The 25,670-nt window shown below is 37.8% G+C and overlaps 1 protein-coding gene across 2 annotated transcripts in view; it reads left to right on the plus strand.

Annotated features, from left to right (window-relative positions):
* LRRC72 (leucine rich repeat containing 72) overlaps nt 14,372-25,670 on the plus strand; it is a 54,744-nt gene continuing 43,445 nt past the window's right edge. For both annotated transcript variants that reach the window (XM_011515057.2, NM_001195280.2), the window contains exons 1-3: nt 14,372-14,589; nt 20,042-20,115; nt 25,174-25,243. In XM_011515057.2, the coding sequence (XP_011513359.1) occupies nt 14,500-14,589; nt 20,042-20,115; nt 25,174-25,243 (234 nt within the window). In that variant the 5' untranslated portion in view covers nt 14,372-14,499. The remainder of the gene's footprint in view (nt 14,590-20,041; nt 20,116-25,173; nt 25,244-25,670) is intronic.

Below are 25,670 nucleotides of genomic sequence, written 5' to 3' on the forward strand. Positions count from 1 at the left end.
CCGTCAGGACTTCCTGAGGCTGTGTCACCGGCTCATCCTCAATGTTGGCAAAATAAACTTTCTAAATTAACTGAGACCTGTCTCAACTTTTCAGGGTTCTCAGAAGCAACATGAGAGCACTCTCTCTGTTCTCCACCATGTGAGGATCCAACAAGAAGGTGGCCATCTGCAACCCACAAGAGGACCCTCACAAGAACCCAATCACGTTGGCACCCTCATCTCGGACTTCCAGCTTCCAAAACGGTGGGAAATAAAATTCTATTTTTTATAATCCACGAGGTTTATGGTATTTGGTTATAACAGCCCAGACTCTCCTAAGAAGGTGACCATGGAATGTAGGCCCTCTACTTTCTCTCAAGGGTGACATGTCAGTATGTGAATCCTGGAACTGTGATGGCTATGTCGTGATGCGGAAAGGTAACCTGAAAAGAGAGCCAACTTAGAAGAGTGTAGGATTTAAAACTATTAACAGCAGAGATTTAGAGCTCTGGCCATGATTGTACGGAACCTAAAACTGCTCTCTCTTTAAACTACTTGCTAATGGAGGCAAGACACTCCTTTATTATTTAAACAAGTAGATCTTGGTGTTCTGATATTGTAATAAAAACATTTGAATTGGTAACATACCTTTACTCCAAAGTTAGCGCATATCATTGCCAGTGAGTCTGCTAGCAGCTCTGCACATGGTAAATAGGAGAGACTTATATTCTGGGTTATTGGAAACAACAGGTAGGATTATTTACAGATAAACAGTGTAGAAATCGGAGCTTGGAAGCTTCCTCTTAACCGGGAGAAAGCCATAGCCCAGCTTTACGATTTCCCATTGGGTCTCATGTGGGACTACAGACAAGAGCCTCAGGGTCATTCCACCAGTTAAATAAAGTTTCTTTCTTTTTCTTTTTTTTTTTTTTTTTTGAAAAGGAGCCTTGCTCTGTCACTCAGGCTGGAGTGCAGTGGCACAATCTTGGCTCACTGCAACCTCCGCCTCCCGGGTTCAAGCAATTGTCTTGTCTCAGCCTCTCTAGTAACTGGGACTACAGGCACCTCCCACCACGCCTGGCTAATTTTTTATTTTTATTTTTATTTTTTATTTTTAGTAGAGATGGGGTTTCACCATATTGGTCAGGCTGGTCTCAAACTCCTGACCTCAGGTGATCCACCCACCTCAACCTCCCAAAGTGCTGAGATTATACGTGTGAGCCCCAAACCTGGCTTAAAGGAAGTTTCTTTATTTTTATTTATTTATTTTTTTTGAGACAGAGTCTTGCACTGTTGCCTGGGCTGGTGTGCAGTGGCGCAATCTTGGCTCACTGCAACCTCCGCCTCCTGGGTTCAAGCAATTCTCCTGCCTCAGCCTCCCGAGTAGCTTGGATTACAGGCGCAGGCCACCACACTGAGCTAATTTTTTTTTTTTTTCGTATTTTTAGTAGAGACGGGGTTTCACTATGTTGGCCAGGCTGGTCTCAACTTCCTGACCTCGTGATCTGCCCACCTCAGCCTCCCAAAGTACTGGGATTACAGGCGTGAGCCCAGCCAGTGAAGTTTCTTAAATGTTCATAATTAATACAAAGCATAAACTTATTACTACCATAGCTATATAGTTTAGGTGTGATCCTTATATAAGTAACAAAATGAAGTTAATAAAAAGAATTTTGTTCAAATAAGAATAATATATGAAAAAATGAGGCAAGATTAAAAAAAACAGCTGTAGGGTAAGAAGAATTGAAGCTGGGGAAGCTAGAATTTCTTAGCAAAGCAACTGTCAAGTTTACCAGTCTAATAATGTTCTTGGTAAATTTTCTTGTCAAACGACTTCCGACAGACAATTCTTGAACTTTTAGAGAAAACATAAAAATACCAAGAGATTATGTCAGAGAACAGCATAAAGTTGATAGTGGAAATAATTTTCACTGTGGGCCACACCAAGACAAACAATTAGGGAAGTGCACATGTAATTCTTTGAGCCATTAATTTGTAAATGACAAAGATCGGAAATAAGGGATTTTCTTCCCCCAAGAGACATCCTAGTTACTAAAGCTGTGATACAAAATATAACAAAAGTCAACAAAAGGAAATTGAAAAGGAATGTATGTAATTACAGCAAAGACAGGATGCATGATATTTTTCACCACCTAATATTACAATAGGTAAATGGATTAGCTAACTATACAATCTGACTTAGAAAACACAGAAAGGATTATTTAAAATAATGCCATATAAATTCTTAGTTGACTTCCTTTTGTCTAATGGTATTCACACTTTAGTGACAGTATGTTAAAAGTTTATGAGTAAAAGTAGGAATGCAGTAAAATATTTTTAGACCACCTACAGCTAGCATACATTAAATTATACAACACATTCTTTTCAATAAATGGCCTTTTTATATCATTCCAGTTACTGATAGAAACTGAAAACAGGGTTATGACATTTAATTAATTCACAAAATGCAGCTGTTCTTCAAGTTTTTGGCAGCTGTCCAATAATTTTAATGAAAAATTTTTAAAAAAGAGAATGAGGAAAAAAAATTCCACCAGAAATAACTTCAATTTTTCTATTAGTCCTTAATATGATGGAAAAGGTCAAAAGATGCCAGCTCTGGGCAAGTATTACCACAAAAATTAGAATCAATATGGGCAGAATATAGACCCAAAAAATGACATGTAAATTTGAAAATGCAATGATATTGCAAGCTACTTCCACAAGATAATGTTACCACATCACTGACTTGGTCAGACTCTCGATTTAAAGTAGAAAAATCTAATGCAAACCAGCTTCAACCCAAAGGGTAGTATATTGACTTGCATAACTAAACTACAGTAAACAAAGGTGTGGAGCTAACTAGAACGAAGGACTCAAATACTATGAGAACTGATCGTCTCTTGCTCTCTGCATTAGTTTAGTTTTCTTCTACTGTCCATCCACTTTCTATGCTGGAAGATGCATGGCTGATGGCAGCTTCTAGGCTCATGCACTACTGAACCTGGAAGACCCATGCTTAATGATAAGACAATGGAAACATTCTAGGGAAGGATTTTAAATGGCCTAGCTTGTGTGGTTGACCAAGAGTTGTGACTCAAGTTTTATGGTCCACTTCAGTCCCCACCTTTAGACAAGAAACTGTGACTGGGAGGTGGGCCATGTAGTTCCTATTCTTATTGGCTCAGTTAACAAATCCTCTCATTATATGGATAAGATAGAAAAATGAATACTGAATAACAATACATATAGAAGAAATTTGAATTAGCATTAATTAGAGAAAGAGTAGAAACATCTGTACAAAATCATCAGGTTGTAAAGCAACCCGTAGAATGGAAGAAAGTATTTGCAAGTCACATATCTGACAAGGGTCTACCATTAAGCATCTATAAAGCACATTTCCAACTCAACAACTAAAAGACAACTCAACTAAAAAATGGGTAAAGGTCTTGAATAGACATTTCTCCAAGGGAGATATGTAAATGGCCAACAAATGAAAAGATGCTCAACATCATCAGTCCCTAGAGAAATGCAAATTGAAACTGCAATGAGTGTTGGTGAGGAACTGAGAAGTTAGAACCTTCACACATTGCTGGTGAGAGTGTAAAACATTGCCATCACTGTAGAAAAGAGTTTGGGGGCTCCTCAAAAAGCTAAACATAAAATTAGCATACAACTCAACAGTTTCTTAGATATATGCCTAAAAGAATAGAAATAGGTATTTAAATGAAGACTTGTAAACAAATGTACTTAGCAGCACTATTCATAATAGGCGAAAGGTAGAAACAACCCAAATGTTCACCAACTGATGAGCAGATTAACAAAATCTGATATACTCATACAATGGAATATTATTCAGTCATGAAAAGGAATGAAGTACCAATACATGTGACAATGTATGTGAACCTCAAAAATACTTTGTCAAATGAAAGAAGATAGGCATACAAGGTCATATATTGTATAATCACACTAATATAAAATGCCCAGAATAGGTAAATTCATACAGACAGAAAGCAGAACCTGCTACTCAGGGATAGGCAACAGAATAAAAGAGCAGCACAGGAAGGGGAACTTGCAATTAGGCCATTTGAGGTCCTCTCTGTTTCACATGTCAAAACAACACATGATATTAATTTTAGGCCTTATGCCACAGAGCTCCACTGCAAATAATAGACTGCTCCTTTCTCCTTAGTTCCAATTTGAAAAACCTGGGGGGGATTATTCTGCTTAGACCGGCAAAGGTTGCATGCCTACCCTTAATGCCAGGAGTATAGCAAATTATGTTTGTCAGCCTAAGTGGGACACAGAATTGAGGATGAAACAGTGCCCCCAAAGAGGACATTCTCTTTTCAAAAGACAAGGGGGATCAAAAGGCAGCATAATTCCTAACCACCCTTCTTTTTATTTCTCTCCCTCCTTTCCCTCACAACTGCTTCTCTATATTAAACTTCCTTTCTCTTCCCTTGCCTTCTCTTCTCATCCTCTTATCTTCTCATTTCCTCTCTTCACTCTGTCTCTTCTTTACAACCCTCTTTTCTGTTCCTTTTTTCTTCTTCTCTCTTTCTCCTCCTTCTCTTCATTTTTGTTCTATTCTCTGTCTCTCACTCTCTTTCCTTATCCCTCTGCCCACTTTTAATAGTGCATTCCAACAAAAGCCACCCACAGTCATCACCTACACAAGTTTTAGGTGATCTGGTGGCCTTCAACTTCATTTCTACTTCTTCCTGAATTATTCAGAACACTAGATAAATGGTAAATAATTGGATAGAGCCTGCATTCGCTGCTAATCTGTCTCACCTATCCAAATTTATGAAAAATTGTCAAGTTCTTGGCAAGTGTGAAAACAGATTTTCTTTCTTTGTTATAACTACAGATGAATTTATGAAACAAAAATTATTTTCTAAAACTTTAGAAGCCTTGAACTTGCTCTGCTAAAGTCTCTCAATACCTTTGCATTTTTTATGAAAAAGATTTCTTTTGAACTACTTTCCAACATGTACTGCCTCTAATTAAAATGATTATTGAACTTTACTCTGCTATTTGCTTTGTGTGTGAAGGTGGTAATGAAAACATCATTAATTAGAACGTAGCAGAGGAATAAAGGCCACAAGGAGCACAAGGAAGATAGTTTGGAATTATGTATGAAGGCAACTGAAACACTTCAGGCTCTGAGGAAATAATAATAATCCATTTGATTGCCAGTCTATATCAAACAGACCAAATACAATTAAGGTAGGTTTAAAGCTATGGGTACTCAGGCTATTTGCTTCCTAATGGTCATTCCTTAGAGACTGGTCTTATTCACATCCCCCAGTGCCTGGCAGAGTGTGTGGTTTATGGTAGGAACTCAGTCCATTTTACTGCCTGCCTGTCTAAATCAATAATAAATGAAGGGTGCCAGGTTATCTAAAATAGTTTCTTCATACAGTTAGAACACTTTAAATCACTTGATGGCCCATGTCTGGCCACACATGGTGACCCAGGCTTCCTGGAACTGGTTTGGTAGTCTCTTCCTGCCACTGTAGCTTGTAGATGAGAGCAACAAAGACTCTGCTACCAAGAATCCTGAATGCCACTGCTAACAGAGATCAGCTGCAAAACGATTCCAGGACATCAAGGAAAATGACTTCCAAGCTGATTCTTCTTTCTGAAATTTACCTTAAAAATTATGGGAGTATGGAGAAGAAAATCCCAGTATCCTCAAATGCTGAAGTTAAAAAGAATCAGAGAAACCCACCTGTTAATAGATAGTGAAACCCATGTGTTCACAGATAACATCCCAATATTTTTTTTTAGGAAAAACCGCATTACCTTTACTTGGTTAAATGACAAAATAACCAAGTAAATGAGTCAAATAATTCATTTATCAGAATAATCAAAATGAGTCAAAATAACTCGGAACAAATTAATAACACTCAGACAGGAGATGATAGACTGAACCCTAAGTAAAGAAAACTTCCCTGTGGACTCACATTAGTGATGGGGCAAACATTCATGACAAAGCTAGTAGTTCTTTCCAAGTCTCTTTTATTCTTTTTGGGATCCTCAGTTCTAAACAACCCAGCCAATCCAGTCTATGTATTCAAAACAGGGTCTCTCACAGAAGGGTGGGTGGGCGCACTTCAAGCCTAAAGGAGAACAATCCGAGTCATCCTAATGTGAAACCTCGTGCTCCTGTTTCTACCTCAGTCTGAGTACTAACATAAAACTCTGGCAGATGAAAATCTTTCTTTTATCTTTTTAAGAAAATTAACCTTTAGTAGTATAATCCCAAGACCATTTCTACTTATTTATTTGGAAAAATAGAAGGTAGGGACCACTGTTTATCCCAAGACAATCTATTCCATGAGACAAAACAGGAAGAATCATTGTTGTGACTTTGAAAAATATAACCTTTAAAAATACTTATATTTGGAAGCTTTAAATATTACATTGGTTAAAAACATTGTTAATGGAACTTTCTTTTTCTATCTGTAGTGGTTCAACTTCTGGTGAGAGTATATGCTGATAGAAAATCTAGAAGCCATGGCTTTTAGGGAATTAAAGTAGCAAAATATGATTGATTTGCAAAGATTTTGAAAAAGGGAACTGGAACAGGAATAAAAAGGCAATGAGCTCCAGAAAATAAGCTACCCCCAAGTCAAGATAATCTACTACTAAAAGTAGATCTACCATTCAATCCAGCAAATCCCACTGCTGGGTATCTATGCAAAGGAAAAGGAGTCATATCAAAAAGACATCTGCACGTGTATGTTTATTGCAGCACAGTTCATAATTGCAAAGATATGAAACCAACCTAAGTGCCCATTGACCAATGAGTGGATAAAGAAAATGTGGTATATATACACCATGGAATACTACTCAGCCATAAAAAAAAGAATGAAATGATGTCTTTCACAGCAACTTAGATGAAGCTGAAGGTCATTATTCTAAGTGAACTAACTCAGGAATGGAAAACCAAACAGCGTATGTTCTCATTTATAAGTGGGAGCTAAGCTATGGGTACGCAAAGGCATACAGAGTGATATCATGAACTTTGGAGATTCAGAAGGGAGAGGATGGGAGTGGGGTATGGGATAAAAAAAAACTACATACTGAGTACGATGTATACTACTTGGGTGACAGATGCACTAAAATCTCAGACTTCACCGCTATACGATTCACCCATGGAACAAAAACCACTTGTACCCAAAAGACTATTGAAATTTAAAAACAATTAACGATAATCCAGAAAGAAAGTAATAAAGTCCTGTGAATAATCATTAAGGAAGGAATATCTGGAGATAGTCTGACTAGCTGTTTGACCTCAAGAAAAATTGATATATTTCACGTAATGATTGTGCTTTACACTGTCCCCATGTCTTTTAAGTATGTAGCACATTTGCAAAGCTTTTCATAAACAGGTAAGAAAAATATTTTATTGTTTTAACTTTTAGTGCAGCTTTGTTATATAGGTAAACTCGTGTCATGGGGGTTTGTTGTACAGATTATTTCGTCACCCGGGTACAAAGCCTAGTACCCAATAGTTATTTTTTTTTCTGCTCCTCTCCCTCCTACTCTCCATCCCTGAAGTAGGCCCCAGTGTCTGCTTTTCCCATCTTTGTGTTCATGAGTTCTCACCATTTAGCTCCCATTTATAAGTGAGAACATGCGGTATTCTGTTTTCTGTTCCTATGTTAGTTTGCTAAGAATAATGGCTTCCAGCTCCATTCATGTTCTGACAAAAGACATGATCTCTTTCTTTTTTATGGCTGCATAGTATTCCATGGTATATATGTACCACATTTTCTTTATCTAATCTATCATTGAATGGCATTTATGTTGATTCCATGTCTTTGCTATTGTGAATTGTGCTGCAATGAACATTTGCATGTGTGTGTCTTTATGGTAGAATGGTTTCTATTTCTCTGGGTATACACGCAGTAATAGCATTGCTGGGTCAAATGGTAGTTCTGTTTTTAGCTGTTTGAGGAATCACCACACTGTCTTCCACAATGGTTGAACTAATTTACACTCCCATCAACCGTGTGTAAGTGTTCCTTTTTCTCCACAACCTTTCCAGCATCTATTATTTTGAGAAAAATATTTATTGACTTGGTAATAGTATACATTCTGGCAAATGATTTTTTAAGTCAACATTCAACTTAGATTATTTAACATTAAAAATATTTGCTAAATTATCTCTTATGGCAAAAAAAATTATTTATTTTTACGTTTGAACAGGAGGCTGCATGCAGATGGCATTCCAAGAGTAAATCTGTCTTTCTAGATTTAAATAGTAACCCAGAAAGTGGTGGGTAAGAAATTTTGTCAAATTTTTACTACATAGACTAGCAAGGATAAGGATTATTTTAAGAAAAGCTGAGTTTGACCAGAGAGATGTCTTTTTTGGGTCTTATGTATATTTGTAATTTCAATTTACGTAGCATATATATATAATAACTAATAATATATAATATAGATATCTACATAGCCAATTATCTCAAAACATAGCTGCTGAAAACAACCAATATTTATTATCCTCCTTTCTGAATGTCAGGACTTTGGGGGTTGCTTGGCTGGGTGCCTCCGGTCAGTCCCCCACCAGGCTACAATCCAGGGCAATACTGTGGTTATCTCAAGGTTCCCCTTGGGGAGATCCACTTCCAAGCTGCCTCATCTGGCTATTGACAAGCCACAAGCCCTCTCTGGCTGTTGGCCAGAGACTTCAATACCTTGCCATGTGGGTCTCCCTGTAGGTCAGCTTAAAACATGGCCACTGGTTTTCCTCAGAATGGGCTAGAGAGCAAAGAGAAGGGGCTCAAGATAGAAACCACAGTCTTTTTATCACCTAATCTCAGAAGCTATATCCTATCCTTTGTATTCTGTCCATTACATGTGAACAGAATCCAGCCCACATGCAAGAAAAAAGGATCACACAGGAGTGTGAAAATCAGGAGGCAGAGATTACTGAGGGCGTTGTTGAGGTTGTGCACACGTGCACATGCATACATGTATGCATATACATGTATATGATCATGTATACCTACTCATACATACACTCACATTTAAATACACACACATGCATGTGTGTGCACATACACATATATATTTATGCATGCATGTATCTATATATTTCTAGAGTATTTATGCTTCAAATGCCTGACTCTTGTATCATATGTGTGATAATATGTGACATTCCTGCTAACATTCACAAGACTTCTCTGTCAGTTTAGGCAGAGAATAATTGTCAATAATTATCACCAAGTCTAAATTAAGTGAAGTGAGGAAAGGCTTTGTAATTTCAGTGGCTTCTGGCATAACGGAAGTTAACTTCTGTAAGTTATCTGACTTTTCCATTCTGTTCCATCTCTAATTTCAGGCTAGAGGTTTCTGTCCTTGGCTCCATGATTTAGAAGGGCTGCTCTGGCCCTCCTCACTGGAGGAGAAGGAGTGCCCACTGGAGATCTTACCCTACGCTGAAATGATGGGCATGTGTTCCCCTAGACCCAAGGGATAAGCAAATGGTGGCTGTTTATGAGGATAGACAGAGCTTAGACATGGGGACCCATTATTCTTGGGAGGAAATGTGAAATCACACTGAAGCTGTACTGGTTTGGAATTGAAAATTATTATTATTGTTATCATTTTAGGTAAGCTGAAGTTGTGTCTAACAGCATCTAGCTTTTCCAGACAGTGTAGGAATGTTTACAAATCTGAACCACTTTCTGTTCCTATACAGGTAGGTATTTGGAAGATTGTGTGCAAATTTTGAAAGAGTTGAGGTGCATATGGAAGAAGTGGAAGTGGCTGCTTTCCTGAAAGAGCTTAAGAAAAACTGCATGTGAACAGTGTTTCTTCAGAACCTTGATGGCAAAATGTCACATGGGTTGGAGTAAAGCAGTGTTTCTCCTATCAGCTCAAAACCCACCACCACTCTAATAATCAAAAACAAAAAAGTTGATACTTAGAAAATCAGGTGATAGCATCCTGGGCATGGATCCTAGAGACTAGCAGAGGACACTTGGGCTTAGAGAAATGAAGTTTATTTCAATAGTCTGAAGGGCAGCAGACATTAGCAAGGAAGAGGAGGGAAAGAGAAGACAGCTTTGCAGGATGCTGCAAGATGACTTGAGGCTACCCATTGGTGACTTCAAGAAATAAATGGCAAACACTTTATAGATCCAGCTTGCAGTGCTTTTCATTGGCATTTGGATATTAAAAGTTAAGCAATGAATATAAAAGACAAGTCACAGAAAAAAATACAAATGACCAATAAGATTTGGAAAGATCATAAACTTCCCTAAATAAATATAAACCAAAACATTGACATTAAAAATTTCTCCAATTAGATTGGAAAGTTCAACAAAATTGATGTCAAATAGAGAAAGATACCCTATCCAGAAAGGGGCATTATCATATATGATCCAATAATCTCATGAAGGAATTTCAGCTACTGGAATAGTAATCCAGGTATGCTAAGACATTTGTTACAACATTGTTTGTCAGAGTAAAAACCTGGACAACACAAGTGTTCATCAATGGAGTAGTAAGTAAGTAAAATGTAAGATACATGACAATGGAACGTAATGCCACAATTCAATTTTGTAATTCTATGTACACTCACTTGAAAAGATGGAGGTTGATGAGATGGTAAAGAGAAAAATGAAGGATGAGGAACAAATTACATGGTTTAATCTCATTTAAAATCCACCTATATACAGAGAAGCAAAAGTTAGCCTACCACAGTTTCACAGATGCTGGCAAAAGATGATATTTCTGGCTTAGAGACAAAGGATAGCTTATTACTCATGGTAATAGCATAGATAGAATATTAGTATTTCTACCAGTTCTCCTACCCACAATTTCCAGAGGGCGATGTGAAATGGGCCAGGTGATATGAGCACATAGAGTGGGTTGTGTTACAGAAGAGGAAATTTGAACTTAAGGAAGCCAGACCTTTTATACTGGGCAGTAAGTTGCCTCAGCTTATCTTTATAATAAATGAGGGAGACATTATCTTTATTATACTGCTCAGTTGAAAAAAAAAAAAAAAAAACACCTACTTTTTGCTCTGAAGGTAGACGCTATATCTACCAAGGCTGTAGGTAGACACTGTATCTTCAAAGGCTGTTTGCTATACAAATATCCTTGAAAATGTAGTCCTTACCAAAGGCAGTTAGTGCCTTTGCTTATGTGCAGTAACAGGAGAGACTCCTGGAGAATTTTCCCCCAATATTCCATTGTTATTTGCATTTTATGTAAACAAAAAAAAGAATTGTAGCTATCAATTAAAATGGGATGTTCTTTTACCTAAAATTATAATAATGAAAATTTTGATAGCTTGGTCATCGAATATCATAAAAACATGTATTTTTATAAATTTTGAATATTTGTTTTTTTAGAGATGGGGGTCTCACTCTGTTGCCCAAGCTGGAGTAAAGTGTGTGATCATAGCTCACCACAGCCTTGAACTCCTGGCCTCAAGTGATTCTCCCGCCTTGGCTTCCCAAAATGCTGGGATTATAGGCATGAGCCACTGTGCCTGGCCAGATATATCTTTTTATACATGTGATATAAGAATATGTATGTTGATTGCGGCCGATACATTGTTTATTCTATGCTCATTTCACACAGTAGAAAATGAGTGATAATGATCATTGTATCTAATAAATATTTTTCACTCACTTAGAAAAACAATATCTAGATTGATAACTGGAATTATTAAAGACAAAATTAGAAAGAATTATTTAAATTATGTAGTTTTAACGATAGCCATCACATGCATAATTTTTTTCTCACACATTTTTCACTGAAAACTTGTTCTTAAAAACTTATTCTATATCAATACAAGAATCTTTTACTCTGTAAACAATACACACAACCTGTCTAGGAGAGTTAATCAAATAATAAATTTTTTGAACTGAACTTCCAGCTTTTACTGTTGAAGAAACTGAGGCCCAGAGACATTAAGTGATTTGAAGGTGGCCAACAACTAGTTGATGTCAGAGCTGAGACTAAATCCCACATGCCCTGACTTGGAGCAGAGGGTTCTTTCTTCTTATCCAAATCCATGTACATGATATGATAGAGCTTTCAAACTGGGATATGCATACCCCTGCGGGCAATGGCAGCAAGCCAGGGAGGTAAAGCCACAGGATAAACACAGGGTGTCTTGCTTCAATGTAAATATTACACAAAGATTTGAGGAGAGTTTGGGGAACTGCTTTATTTTTATATTAAAACAAGATTGATTGTAAAGAAGAATGCATATTTTACATGAATTTTAAAAATTTCAGGCTGGATTCCTCAGGCTATAATCTTACCCCATGGAGGTAAAAGTTCTCTCTGCTCACTCTACTGGGAGTAATTCTTTTGTAAAAATTTCATGTCACCAATGTGAGAATGTCTGGGAAGGAGCTTTTGTCCAAAAAGTGCCTTCATTAACCTCCATCCTTGAGATTCCATAATTAAATTTGCTTTATTTTAGCCTTCGTGATCAGTTAATTTTTTCTTGAAGAAGGAACACATTAAGACCTTATAATAAGTGAGTTTTGAGTTCCTTTCCTAAGAATAAGGTTTTTTTCAAAATTACCTTTTTAATATGGGGTAAAATGCTAAAAAAATAAGAATAAAAATTTTTAATGTGATTTTAGTAGAAATTAACTGGTGACTAGTTTACATCTGCAAGATGCTCTTTAAAACTATTTTGCATATGGTTATAAAGTCACATTTGTGTAATGTAGAAAACTGAACAAGTATTGTGCATTTCCATTTTTTCATGTAGCATATTCGTGAATAATATCTGCAATGCTATAACACATATCAACAGCAAAAATGAGCCAATGAATTATTATATATGCCTTCTCAGTGGACCATTTCTCTCATTTGAGTTTTATTTCCAGGATAGAAACTACTTAAACAATAGTTCTTAGATGATTAATCCCTCCACAATAACTTGGAGAGCTTTTACCCCCACCTCAGCCCCAAATACATATTAGAACTACTGAAACAATGTGTACTTGATTTCCCCACTGAGACATTTTTTAATGCTTCATTTCAACACCAGCATTTTTTTTTAAATGCAAGTAGCTTGACCCATTTCAGAAAGCTACATTTGATTCCTAGATTTCAGGTTCAAATTTGGAGCCAAGAAACCAACTCGTTTAATCCAGTCAACATTAATTAAGCGCAGTCCGTTAAGCTCTGGCAGAAGAGAGAGATGTCTTAAACAGGATCCTGCCTCCAAAGTTACCCAAGCTAGAGGGAACAAGCCTCATATAAATAAAGTCACAAGATAATCTATACTAGAGGTTCCAATACAGTTACAGGAGACAGAAATTTCAAAAAACAAAAACAAAAAACAAGGTTGGAAAGATTGGCCAAATAGTGGCTCAATTTGTCCATTTTCTGCCAGAGAAAGGATTTCTCAGCTACTGAAACAATATGTACTTGTTCTTAGCCAATGAAGTCAGTAGAGAGTTCCTTCCATTTTTCTGTGCACCTGGACTCTTGAGGAGCCTTAATTCTACCACCCCCACCTTCATCCCAGGTGTGGGTCTATGATGAGGCAAGTAAGGCAGTGGCCTTGGACCCAGATGTAAGAAGCACCAAAAACTCAGCATTCAAAATAAATATTTTTTTTTGTTTGTTTTTGAGACAGCGTGTCCTTCTGTCACCCAGGCTGGAGTGCAATGGCTGGATCTTGTCTCACTGCAACCTCTGCCTCCCAGGTTCAAACTATTCTCCTGCTTCAGCCTCCCAAATAGCTGGGATTACAGGCGCATGCCACCATGCCCGGCTAATTTTTGTGTTTTTTTAAAATAGAGACAGGGTTTCTCTATGTGGGCCAGGCTGGTCTAGAACTCCTGACCTTGGGTGATCCACCTGCTTCAGCCTCCCAAAACACTGGGATTACAGGCTTGAGCCACCGCACCCGACCTCAAAATAAATATCTTAATGCAATATTAAAAAAAAAAAAACAAAATGTATGCAAATAACATGCATAATGAACAAAATTTCAAACTTTTAGAGACACGATCAGTAGTACTGTCTTTTTTCCTCTTGCGTCAAGATCCACAGCGACTCTGCAGCGCACCTCTTCACCCCCAGCCCGTACATGAGGCCAGGGGTCCACACACACACACGTCTAATTTCCAGAAACCTAAATTTCCTGATATTCATATCTCGAATCAAAGTGATGATTACTGGGTGACTGCCGTTGAGGCGCTCTGACCTCCTCCTGGTCCCGGACATAGCTGACCCCCGCTCTCCGGCATCCACCGGACGCATCACCATGAGCAGGGGTAACACGCGTGTGTCCGAGGCACAAGGGTGGGTGTTGCAGGGCCACACGCTCAAACGTCACAAAAGTCAGCGTTTGGCTTCAAATATTTCCCAGTGTGGACTGGCTTTTAGTCAACGGGAATGCGGTAACTGTTGGTAACAGAACAACGAGCTGTGCACCAAGCCAAGTCTCTCTTCGGTGCCACCGGCGGGCGAGGCCGGATTAATCACCGCTGCTTCGGCCGCCCATGTGTCCTGATGTCCTGGGACCCGAACCCCGTGCCCCGTACCTTGCGATGCTGGCGCCTACGGAGGGCATCCGAAACTGCCCTACAGAGCAGTCGCCGGGTAAGCGGCACCTGCCTTCCCAAGCCATCAGCCCCTTTGGCCCCCTGCCCCAGGGCCCCACCTCCTGCCTGAGGACTCCAGGCAGGTACTGAATTTGGAGGGGAATTTCAGTAGCCTGAAGACGGAGATAGGTCAGATTTCAAATTAATTGGTTAACATAAAAGGAGAACAAAGAATCCAGCACAAAATTGGGATGTGAACAGCTACGAGCGGTGGCGAACCCCCCTCAGCATCTCTGCCTGGGCTAGAGGTCCTAATCCCCTGGGTGGGGTTTGAGGACTTCCCAGTCCACACCAGTAGACTTACACTGACCTTTTACCACTCAGCATCTGCTGCGTATATAATTATAGTGGTTTGCAGATTAAGTGAAACGGAGATTAAGTAAATTTCGCAGTCTTGATTCTCCAACAGGGGTGTGTGTGTGTGTGTGGATGTGGGTGTGGGTGTGTATCCCTAATATATTGTTCCCAGCAAGGGCAAATCAACACCTTGAAGAGAAAACGTTATTTGATGAGCCCTACAAGCAGAGTCGAGAGCAGTTAAGATAATGATTAAAAGAATATTTGGATATTTGGGTGGGGAAAAAAAAATCTCAGAATTGTGCCAGGTAAGACCTAGCAAGGCTTTCTGGAGTTCTCTGACTCATCTGCAAAGATGGGGGGCTGCTGTGATTAAACGAGGCCGAGAGTTCTGTAATGAATTGAAAGCTCTTCACACTAAGTCCTAACTTGTGCCTGCGTGTTGCATGGAGGTATAAGAATTTATCATCAGAGAGGGCATTTTCTTCTATAGGTTTTAATACTGACCTTATTCTTCTAGGATTTAATAATCCTGCCATTTTCAAACATTTTTTTCCCTTTGATTCTAGATCCTCAGGCATCGGGTGGTGGAAGAAGCAGCTGCTGTTCTCCCCATGCTAGAACTGTTCACATCCCAATTTTGTGATGGACTCTTTTTATTCTCCTTTTAGGTTAACCAACTAATTTAAAATCCGACTTTTCACCCTCTTCAAGCTACTGAAATTCAGGCCTCTAAATTCAGTACCTTTTCTGAGTGACATCCTCCACCAGCCAAAACAATGTTGTAGATTGAAATTCTACCTTCTTCAAATGCTCCTCTGCCTCCTGCTGTCCTTTTCTTCTTCTACCTCACTTGACAATCATCCTCCTCTGTCTCCTTTCCATCATGTTTCCCTCTCCCTTCTCTCCATGTAGACACTTCATCGTGATCTTCCTTGGATCCCACTCTCCTCTGGTTAACTGACTTATCAGATCTGCACAGCTGCCCTGATGAGATCTCTGATGAGTTCCACATTTACCCTTGCAGCTTTCTGGTGGGCGCCTTGACCAGTCTGTTCCACCAGGGCCTCAATTTCAGCATTTCTCAGCTGCATCTGTCTTCCCTCCCATCATCTTTCTCATCAAGTCATCACATCATCATCATCATCACCTGTGACTTCCCTCGTGCTAATTCTCTGCCTCCATTTACTTGCCAGTTCCCATTCATTCTCCCTAAACACACCCCATGTCATATCTGTTCACTGCTCACTCACACCTGCCCCCACCCTGAGGGGGCAGGCTCATTAGCTGGCAGACTTTGTTTCCCAGAGGCAGTCTTGCTTCCTGTCTGCAGTTCTCACTGCACACCAGGCCCCCATACACATCACTGCTAGAGTCATCTTCCTGAAGCCTGGCTTTGTCACATGTTTTTTCTAGTTCAAAAATCCAGTAATATCTTCCTATTGCCCCAGAAGTGAGCATAATGCTGAATCACCCAATAGTTAGTTCTGTGCTTTCAGGGTACCAACAAAGCAAGAGCACTAACAGAGAAGGAGGAAAAGTGTTTCTGAAACAATTTGATATTGGATATTGTGTAAAAGCATTGACATTGTTATCCTGGGAAAAATCAGAATTAGACTTTCTCACATGAATTTTACCATACAGTTACTTAGAATATATATTTCATATATATGTACATATACATGTGTTTATATATCATATAAAATTAAATGATGTTAAGTTAGAGTTCTCAAGGCCTGAAGAAGTTTTCTCCAGGCACTGATTAAGTACACACTTCTGAGCCTAAATTTCAAAGTTGACATAAATAATATGACCCCAACCCACCTTTCTTAATTTATTTCTCACAACTGCCTTCCACATGCCTTTTACTTCAGCCAAAGGCTGTACAGCCCCACATACCTTATACATTCTTCTGCTTCTTCTGTTTTGTGCGCTTACTCTCCTCTTCCACCAACATCCCATTTCTAATTTCACCTCACCTCTTAAGGCCCAGCCTGACTGTCGGTTGTGCCCTGAAATCTTCCAGCGTGTCCAGGCTAACAGTACAGGTGTACTTCATTTCTACTGTGCTTCACTGTATTGTACTTGCAGATACTGTTTTTTGGGGTTTTTTTAATGTTACTATCGTAATTGCTTAAGGGACCACGAACTGTGCCCCTATAACATGGCAAACTTAATTGAATTCCTTTAGATGAGGGCATATAGTACTAGTGAAGCTGTGTGTTCACTGGGAACTGGAATTGTTCCACCATGGATTCACTGAAATGTGAATTGGAACATTTTCATGTTTCTGGGCACTTTGATATTAATATTTTGTACTGGATTCATGCAAAATTATTGATTGGAAAGAAACATGCTGTGATAAAAACTTGTGTAAATAAATAATTATGATAGTGATTTACATATTATGCTGATACATTCAATTTCCCTTTCACCTCACATTTTTTGAAATTTGATTTAAATTTTTAAATATTCATTCTATGGCTAAAATTTTTAAAACATGCATTACTTTCTGATTATCAAATTAATATGTGGTTATTGTGAAATACTAAAACATCACTAAAAATATATATTGCCTAGAAAGTGAAAGTCCCTCATGATCTCAAGTGTTGACTTTTGCTAGTAATTTGAAGTGTGTGCATTTTGTATTCATATAAATATGACTTTTAACAGAAATATTGTTACACATATTATACTGCCAATTACTTTTTATTTATAAATATGTTTTCGATATCTTTAGATGTCTAGATATCTGTCTGTATTATTAGAGTTCTCGGGAGAAACAAAACAATAGGATATATAGAGATATATAGAAAAAGACTATTATTATGAGGAATTGACTCACTTGATTACGGAGGCTGAGAAGTCCCACAATCTGCTGTCTGCAATCTGGAGCCCAGGAGAGAGCCAGTAATGTAGTTTAGTCCAAGCCCAGAGACCTGAGAACTAGGAATGCTGATGTCTGAAGGCAGAAGATGGATGTCCTAACTCCAGAAGCAAGCATGAATTCACATTCCTCTGTTTTTCTGTTCTATTGGGGCCCTCAGTGGATTGGATAATATCCACCCCTGTTGGCGAGGGTGATCTTGTTTACTCAGTCCACTAATACTAATGCTAATCTCTTCCAAAAACATCCTCAGAAACACACCCATAAATAATGTTTTACCAGCTTCTGGGCATCCCCTAGTCCAGTCAAATTTATATATAAAATTAACCATCAGACCACTTCTCTATATTTTGAAACTACTTCACAGTATTCCATTGTGATGTCACATGTCAATTTAACCTGCATTCCAATTAGTGGGGACTATTTCACAACCACAGAAAATGTATGCTGAAATAAGCAGTGATAATCACATTTGTCTGGGTGTATGCACCTGTGTGTTTCTGAGTCCTGGAGGTAGAATGGCTGGATCAATTTAAAAGCACATTTATAATTTTAACAGATGGCTGCCAAGTTTTAATTCTTCTTTGGCTGGGCTATAACCACCCCAAACACTATGCAAAGATGTGACTGACTGTACGTAGTAGAGGCTGATAGTTGACATCTTTAAGTTAAAATACCCAGATGAGGGCTGGGCACAATGGCTCACTCCTGTAATCCTAGCACTTTGGGAGGCCAGGGCAGGCAGATTGCCTGAACTCAGGAGTTTGAGACCAGCCTGGCCAACATGGTGAAACCCCATCTCTACAAAAAATTATTCAGGTGTGGCAGCGTGCACCTGTAGTCCCAGCTACTTGGGAGGCAGGAGAATTGCTTGAACCTGGGAGGCAGAGGTTGCAGTGAGCTGAAATCACACCACTGTACTCCAGCCTGGGCAACAGAGCAAAACTCTCTCAAAAAAAAAAAAAAGAAAAACAAAAACAAACAAAAAAAACAAAACCCAGATGACAATGTCTAAGCCTGATCCAATGGGTTTTTCCAAGCCCCAGGTCGGCTTGTGTAACTGGATAACAAAGCACCCTGATGGCAATGCCTAAACCTGAGCCTATGAATGCTCCAAGCCCCTAGATTCAGCTTGCTTATTAACAAGGCATCAAGGGAAGTTCAGGACTATACATTTGCAGCTGCTCTCCATCACTAGCGTACCTATCTTCCTCATTTCTTTAAATATGTTCATTGCACTAAATATAACTCCTGTTAAAGTCCTCTACCAAATAGCAAAACCACTGTCAAAATTTCATATATCACCCAGAAAGATTTATAAGTCATTATAACCTCACCATTCATAACAAATCCCAGCTAAAATTCGGTGATTGTTTTGACTCTGATAATTACAATGTTTGTCAGATTCCAGGATTGCAAAGATTATACTTTTCACTTTTGTCATGTCTTGTGAGCTCTACTTTCTCATGGAAAATTACAGACAGACTTTACTTTTTTCATATTATTTTAGGTCATGTGGCCTATTAACATTATTTTATAATTTAGCAAAGGACTTTAAGAAAAAAAAGTAAAGCATTTAAATAGCTGTTGCTAAAGTTTTATTTTTAAAACAGAGCTATGGGAATAAAAGCTGCTTCTCCACCAAAAATTCTCACAGCATGAGTATGTTAGCAACTCATGAGAAACGAAGTCACTGCTGCTTGCCAAGCAAGGGAAAATGTATTTATTCATTTGTTCAGAGAAAAATGACATGTATTCATTCATTTCACATTTTCTGAGAATTTACTGGGTGCCAAGCATAATGTGATAGGCACAAAAAAGAATGTCCTATAATAACATACATTTTATCCTACTCTCTCCACCTCCAACCCTGATACTGCATGAATTCTCTATAGGAAACCTATGAAATACTAATTCTTCATGTTCAAAGAATCATTTAAAAATAGTTCTTTAAAGACCAAATTACCTTGCCTCATACAGAATAAAAAAAACTTGCTTTTGGTGTATACGTACACATACATATTTTTTTCTCTCTGATTAAAAATTATTTAAACATCTGTGCCCAGGATTAAGGATAATGAAATTCAACCACAAAAATGAGTAAATAATATATAATTGTAGCCTTGGAATTTATCAGTTTAGAATGGTTACCTCCATATTCACCTTTCTTTTGATCTTCTTGTAGACGTTATTGTTACTGACTGCAAGTGCCTCAGCACTTTTGTTCATTGGAATGTAGTTTGACAGATTAATTATATGTTATCAGGCAGTTGAAGATCAGCTAAAGATATGTGGCCACAGGAGGGATGCTGATGTCTTTGAGCTGTTCCTTTCTAAAAAGTAAGTGTACTTAACATAAAAAATGAAAGAGTATCATGTTATCATGATCATGTTAAAATGTTTCACAGATTCAAATGTTATTTTCCATTTTTCCCCCTCAAGGACTGGGTAGGACTCCAATTATTTTACCACTTCCTGGAATCCACAGTTTTCTATTGGAGAGACAAGATACTGAAATTGATTAAAAAAAAAAAAATTATGGAGACAGGCTGTTTGAATCCCAGCTCTGTCTCTTCCAGCTGGGTGATCTTGGGTATGTCATATAACCTCACTATTAGGATTGTCAGATTTAACAAATAAGTATATAGGACATCCAGTTGAATTTGAATTTCATAGAAACAACGAATATAATTTTAGTTAGTATAAATATGTCCCACATAGTAGTTGGAAAATTCACTGTTTCCGTGAAATTCAAATGTAGCCCGATATCCTGTATTTTATCTGGCAACGCTATTCCCTGGGCATAATTATACTACCTCATTCTCAGGGTTGTTGTGAAGCTTAGGTGAGTTAGTAAAAGTTAGTCAAAGTTACTGGTACACAGCAAGCACTCAATGAGTATTAGTATGGTTAACATTATTACTATTATTAGGAATCATTATACCACATACTATGATAATGAACTCCATTATACTACAACCTCTACCAATCCCCATACCAGTTTTACTGGTAAGTAGAAAAATCCCTCTCTTATATCAACAGACCACTTTGATTCCACTCGAACTCCCCAAGGTGGCAGACAACAAATTGGGTTTTTCTATAGAGTAGAATGAGATAGAACCCAGGTATGAGAGGAAAAGGGAGTTATAAATAAGATTAGACTCTGATACCACAGTTCTCACTGGCCGATAAATGACACTGAAGTTTGCATTTTAAGCACAATGACCCTATTCCTACATTTTGTCCCCCTTACTTTGTGCTTTTTAATGCCTCTGAATTCTGTGTATTATTTTTAAATAGGCTTGACGTATTTTTGCTCATATGTAATCTTTGGAACTCAGCTTCTTGTAAAGAAAATGCCTTAGTTTATCAACAAATTTAATCACTTATTTCTAGTGATTTGGGGAAATCCTTTATTATTAAACATATTTATTTTATTATAAATAAATATGTTTATCAGTACAGAGAAAAGTGTTTACCTTTGTAATGGCTCTGAATCTCTTGGTAGTAAAGGAATAAATTGATAACCAGTTTGAAATGTTTAAAAATATATTTTTTAGTATGGAACAGGTATGGTAGAGCATTCTGACACATTTAAGGTCATGCTTTGAGCCTCTCGATATAGGTCAGTTAGTTTTAAAATAACAGTAAATATTTCATGTGGTCAAAAGATTGCATCTTTCATGATTTTGACAATTGTATACTATTGATCACTACAGTAAGTAGATAATAAGAGTAGCTTTAAAATACTAGAAATCTGAGATATTGATCACCTGACAGTAGATAATTAATCGACTCCTTGTGAGAAGGATAACACCTTTTACATTTTAAGGACACTAAGTTACCATTTCATCCAGCTGTGGACAAAAACTATTTCCCAGTCCAGATGCCAATACACTGGTATACTGAGTTATTTACCAAGTTTCTCTTGACTCTGGGAAATGGAAAGCATCTTATCGATGTGTTCTTGAGTGATCATGGAGAACATACATTGTAACAAGATGTTGATAATTATTGTCAGCATGAGTCATAGCCATCATTAGTAGAATTACCTCTCATTATCCTTTGACTGGCCTCACCTTATAATGTAACAGCCCATTATTGATTTAGGACAGGTTTATGTGCAGAATAAACCCTTCTGACGTGAAAGAGTTAAAGTACCCTTGAAAAGTGAATTTATATGATATCAGATGTGGGCTCGTAAAAGTTTTTTAAAAATTAAATTTTAAAAAAGAAAAATGAAAATGAATTTATTACATTACCTAATCAATGAAAATTCAACATTGATATTACTGCTACAAGAAAAAATTAATGACAGTAACTTGACACAGTTAATACTTTAAAGTTTTAGTGTATTAAAACAACTTTCGCGCCACTGCACTCCAGCCTGGGTGACAGAGCGAGACTCAGTCTCAAAAAATAAAATAAAATAATAAAATAAAATGAAATAACTTTTATGGGAAATCCTCTGAGTGGGGCATGAGATACTCTGATGTAGCCATGTAATGATTTCTTTATTATTTATCATAGGAACAGATGAAGTTAATGTACTCTCACTATCGCCCCATGTAATAGTTAGGGTGCCCCAAGGTCCAAGTACTCTTTCCCTGAAATAAGCTACATATATACAGTGAGAGAGGAGAATGAATTATTATTTGTGCAAATTTCCTACTAAAAATTGCTTTGAGGCCAGACGTGGTGGCTTACGCCTATAATCCCAACACGTTGAGAGGCTGAGACAGGTGGATCACCTGAGCCCAGGAGTTTGAGACCAGCCTGGGCAACATATGAAACCCTGTCTCTACAAAAAATTAGCTAGGTGTGGTGGCATGCACCTGTGGTCCCAGCTACTTAGGAGGCTGAGGTGGGAGGATCGCATGAACCTAGGAGGTGGAGGTTGCAGTGAGCCGAGATGGAGCCACTGTACTCCAGCCTGGGCAACAGAGCCAAACCCTTTCTAAAAAAGAAAAAAAAAGTTGTTTTGGAAGAGTCTGAAATACTTAGTTGTGCCAGGGAAGTGCTCAAAAACTAATGGTACATATCAAAGAGACACACAATTCTGCTTGAAATGTCTTTTATAAGGGAGAATTTGATAATTGTTTTAAGTGATAAAGGATTAAGTAAAAAACTCTTGAAAATTCAGGGAAGGTGGGGAGGAGAATGAATGAGATAGAAGAGGAGGGAACAGATGTTCATTACAGAAGAATAGCAGCTAATAAATGTTAAAAGAATAAGAACATTAGGAAAATCATTTTTTATAATCCCAAATCTATTGGCTCAGGTAAGGATCATCAATTGAAGCTAAAGCTATTGAGTAAAGAGTTGTCAGGGAGCAAGATACACACATGATCTCAGATATTTGCCTCATGTATGACTTTCCAATTATAAAATTTGTACTTTTACAGTGGCAAGAACTGGCAGATACCCTCTTAACCAAATGACTGAATTTAGCTTCATCAAGAGTGGGGCAGACTGACGTCATTTGGATCCTTATGTGATTCAGTAATTACCACCCATGTAATTGAGAAGTAGACGTGATCTTCCTTGCATTTGATCAATAGGAAACAATCCAAAAAATCAATAATGTGAGACATTCTACCAGACAATTATCCTGGACTCTCCAAAAAGCTAATGTTTTCTGGTTTTTTTGTTTGTTTGTTTGAGATGGAGTTTTGCTCTTGTCACCCAGGCTGGAGTGCCATGGCACGATCTCGGCTCACTGCAACCTCTGTCTCCTGGGTTCAAGTGATTCTCCTGCCTCAGTCTCCTAAGTAGCTGGGATTACAGGCATGTGCCACCACACCCAGCTAATTTTTGTATTTTTAGTAGAGACGGGGTTTCACCATGTTGGCTAGGCTGGTCTCAAACTCCTGACCTTAGGTGATCCATCCACCTCAGCCTCCCAAAGTGCTGGGATTACAGGCATGAGCCACCATGCCCAGCCCAAAAAAACTAATGTTAAGGGAGAAAAAGGAAAGAAGATGATTACCTTTAAAAAGACTCAAAGGTTATACCACCCCAAAATGCAATGCATGAATGTTAATGGGATACAGGATTTAAACAAACCAAAAAAAATGTAGGAACAACAGGGAAAAATTTGAACATGAATGGCATATTAGATTACATTACTGAATTCAATTTCATCTTCTTAGGTGTGAGGATGGTATGGTGGTTGCACAGGACAATGCCCTGATATAGGAGATACACATGCTGAACTCCTTAAGCTAAGACACCTGCAATAAGCCTGCAACTTTATTTTCAAATGATTCACCGAGAAAATTATCAACCAATAAATATATAAATTAGATAGATAGTATGAGCATGTGACAATATGTTAAAAATTACGATGGTTATACAAGTGGTCATTGTACTATTCCTTCTTTTCTCAGGTTTGACATTTTTCAATATAAAAAGTTGGCAAAAAAAAGGTTTATTTTGTTTAGAAATGGTTGCATGCTTTCAAAAAATGTATGTTTTTATAAAAATTAGAAAAATATTAGTCCTTCAGTGTCCCAAGGTTAAAAATAATTGTGATAAAATTTTGCCATAAATGAATTAATATCTGTAATAATAATAAATATTGATATTTTTATGCTTTGAAAAGTACCTGGCACACAATACGTGATCTATAAGCATTTGATAAATAAACAGATACGTACATGTATACTTACTTGGGTTCCACAATTTCTGCCCTGAGAAATAAGAGATCCAACTACTCCAGGCCACATCAATCAAATGGACCAACTATCCTCAGACAGTGCCCTCTCCCAAACCCACATCTGCCCCTTTGATGAGTGAGCTGCCTTAGCAACAAGAACCAAGACCACTTGGATAGGTGGAATCTCACACAGTTCAAGAGAAGTGGGTAATATTTTAATCCTATAATTAATAAATAAAGGGAGAATAAAGCACTTCACACAGTGTCTGTCTCTTGGTGTCCTGCAATTTCCATCTGAGTCCAGTCTGGCCAAATACTTCAAGGTTATTGCCCCACACTAATAACCCCACAGACAATATTGAAGCAGGACCCAGCTACATTTCCCACATTTACTTGAAAGTACAGTATCAGCTTCACTTTTTTCCTTTGTCCTCTCCCCAGTAAAACTTGTTTTGAATTAAGGTTCCAATAAATTCAGCCATAATGAGGTGTAAATTTTTGCTAATGTGATAAAGTGCTCCCTTTCAAGTATCAGCTTCAACTAGCTGACAAAATCTTAATCCAAGTGAATGAAGTTATAATGATGGAATTTCTGAAATAAGCAGGTGAGTGTGCCAATAATTTTGAAAGGACAAAGAGAGGCCTTTCTAGTTACTACGAAGCCATACTAACTACATGCCCAGACTTACCTATGTGTGAACTAATTGTTGCTAATGTTCACATTTTTTTTTTCTTTCCAGGGAACTGACAGAGGTCATTGATCTTTCTAGGTTTAAAAAATTAAAATACTTATGGCTTCATCATAACAAGGTAGTGTTTTATTTTATCTTTCAATTACTAAAATTAAACTACTATCTTAATTTTGTATTCCTAATAGAGCTAATCTTTAAAAGTATTAAAATTTTTGCTTAAAATTTAAATTGAGCTAAGAAACCCATATAAAACATATATATCTGGTACATATATATATATTTGGTATACATACACATATACACACATGAGATACATTGAATAAGGGCAATCTGTGAGGTGCTATCAAATTGCAATTTTACTTTTGTCTCCCACGTCCTATCAAATCCACTTAGTGGAAGCTATTCCTACTTGGGCTCCTGAAAGAAAACCTGGGCAGCCCCATAACCTTTTTCATCTCTCTTAGGTAATACAAAATCTTACAGCCCATTGAGTCATAGTCATAGTCCCAGTTCATAAATGAGAATATAATAGCCAACTGTCAATC

This window comes from Homo sapiens, chromosome 7 (assembly GCF_000001405.40).
Source record: "Homo sapiens chromosome 7, GRCh38.p14 Primary Assembly".
Lineage (NCBI taxonomy): Eukaryota > Metazoa > Chordata > Mammalia > Primates > Hominidae > Homo > Homo sapiens.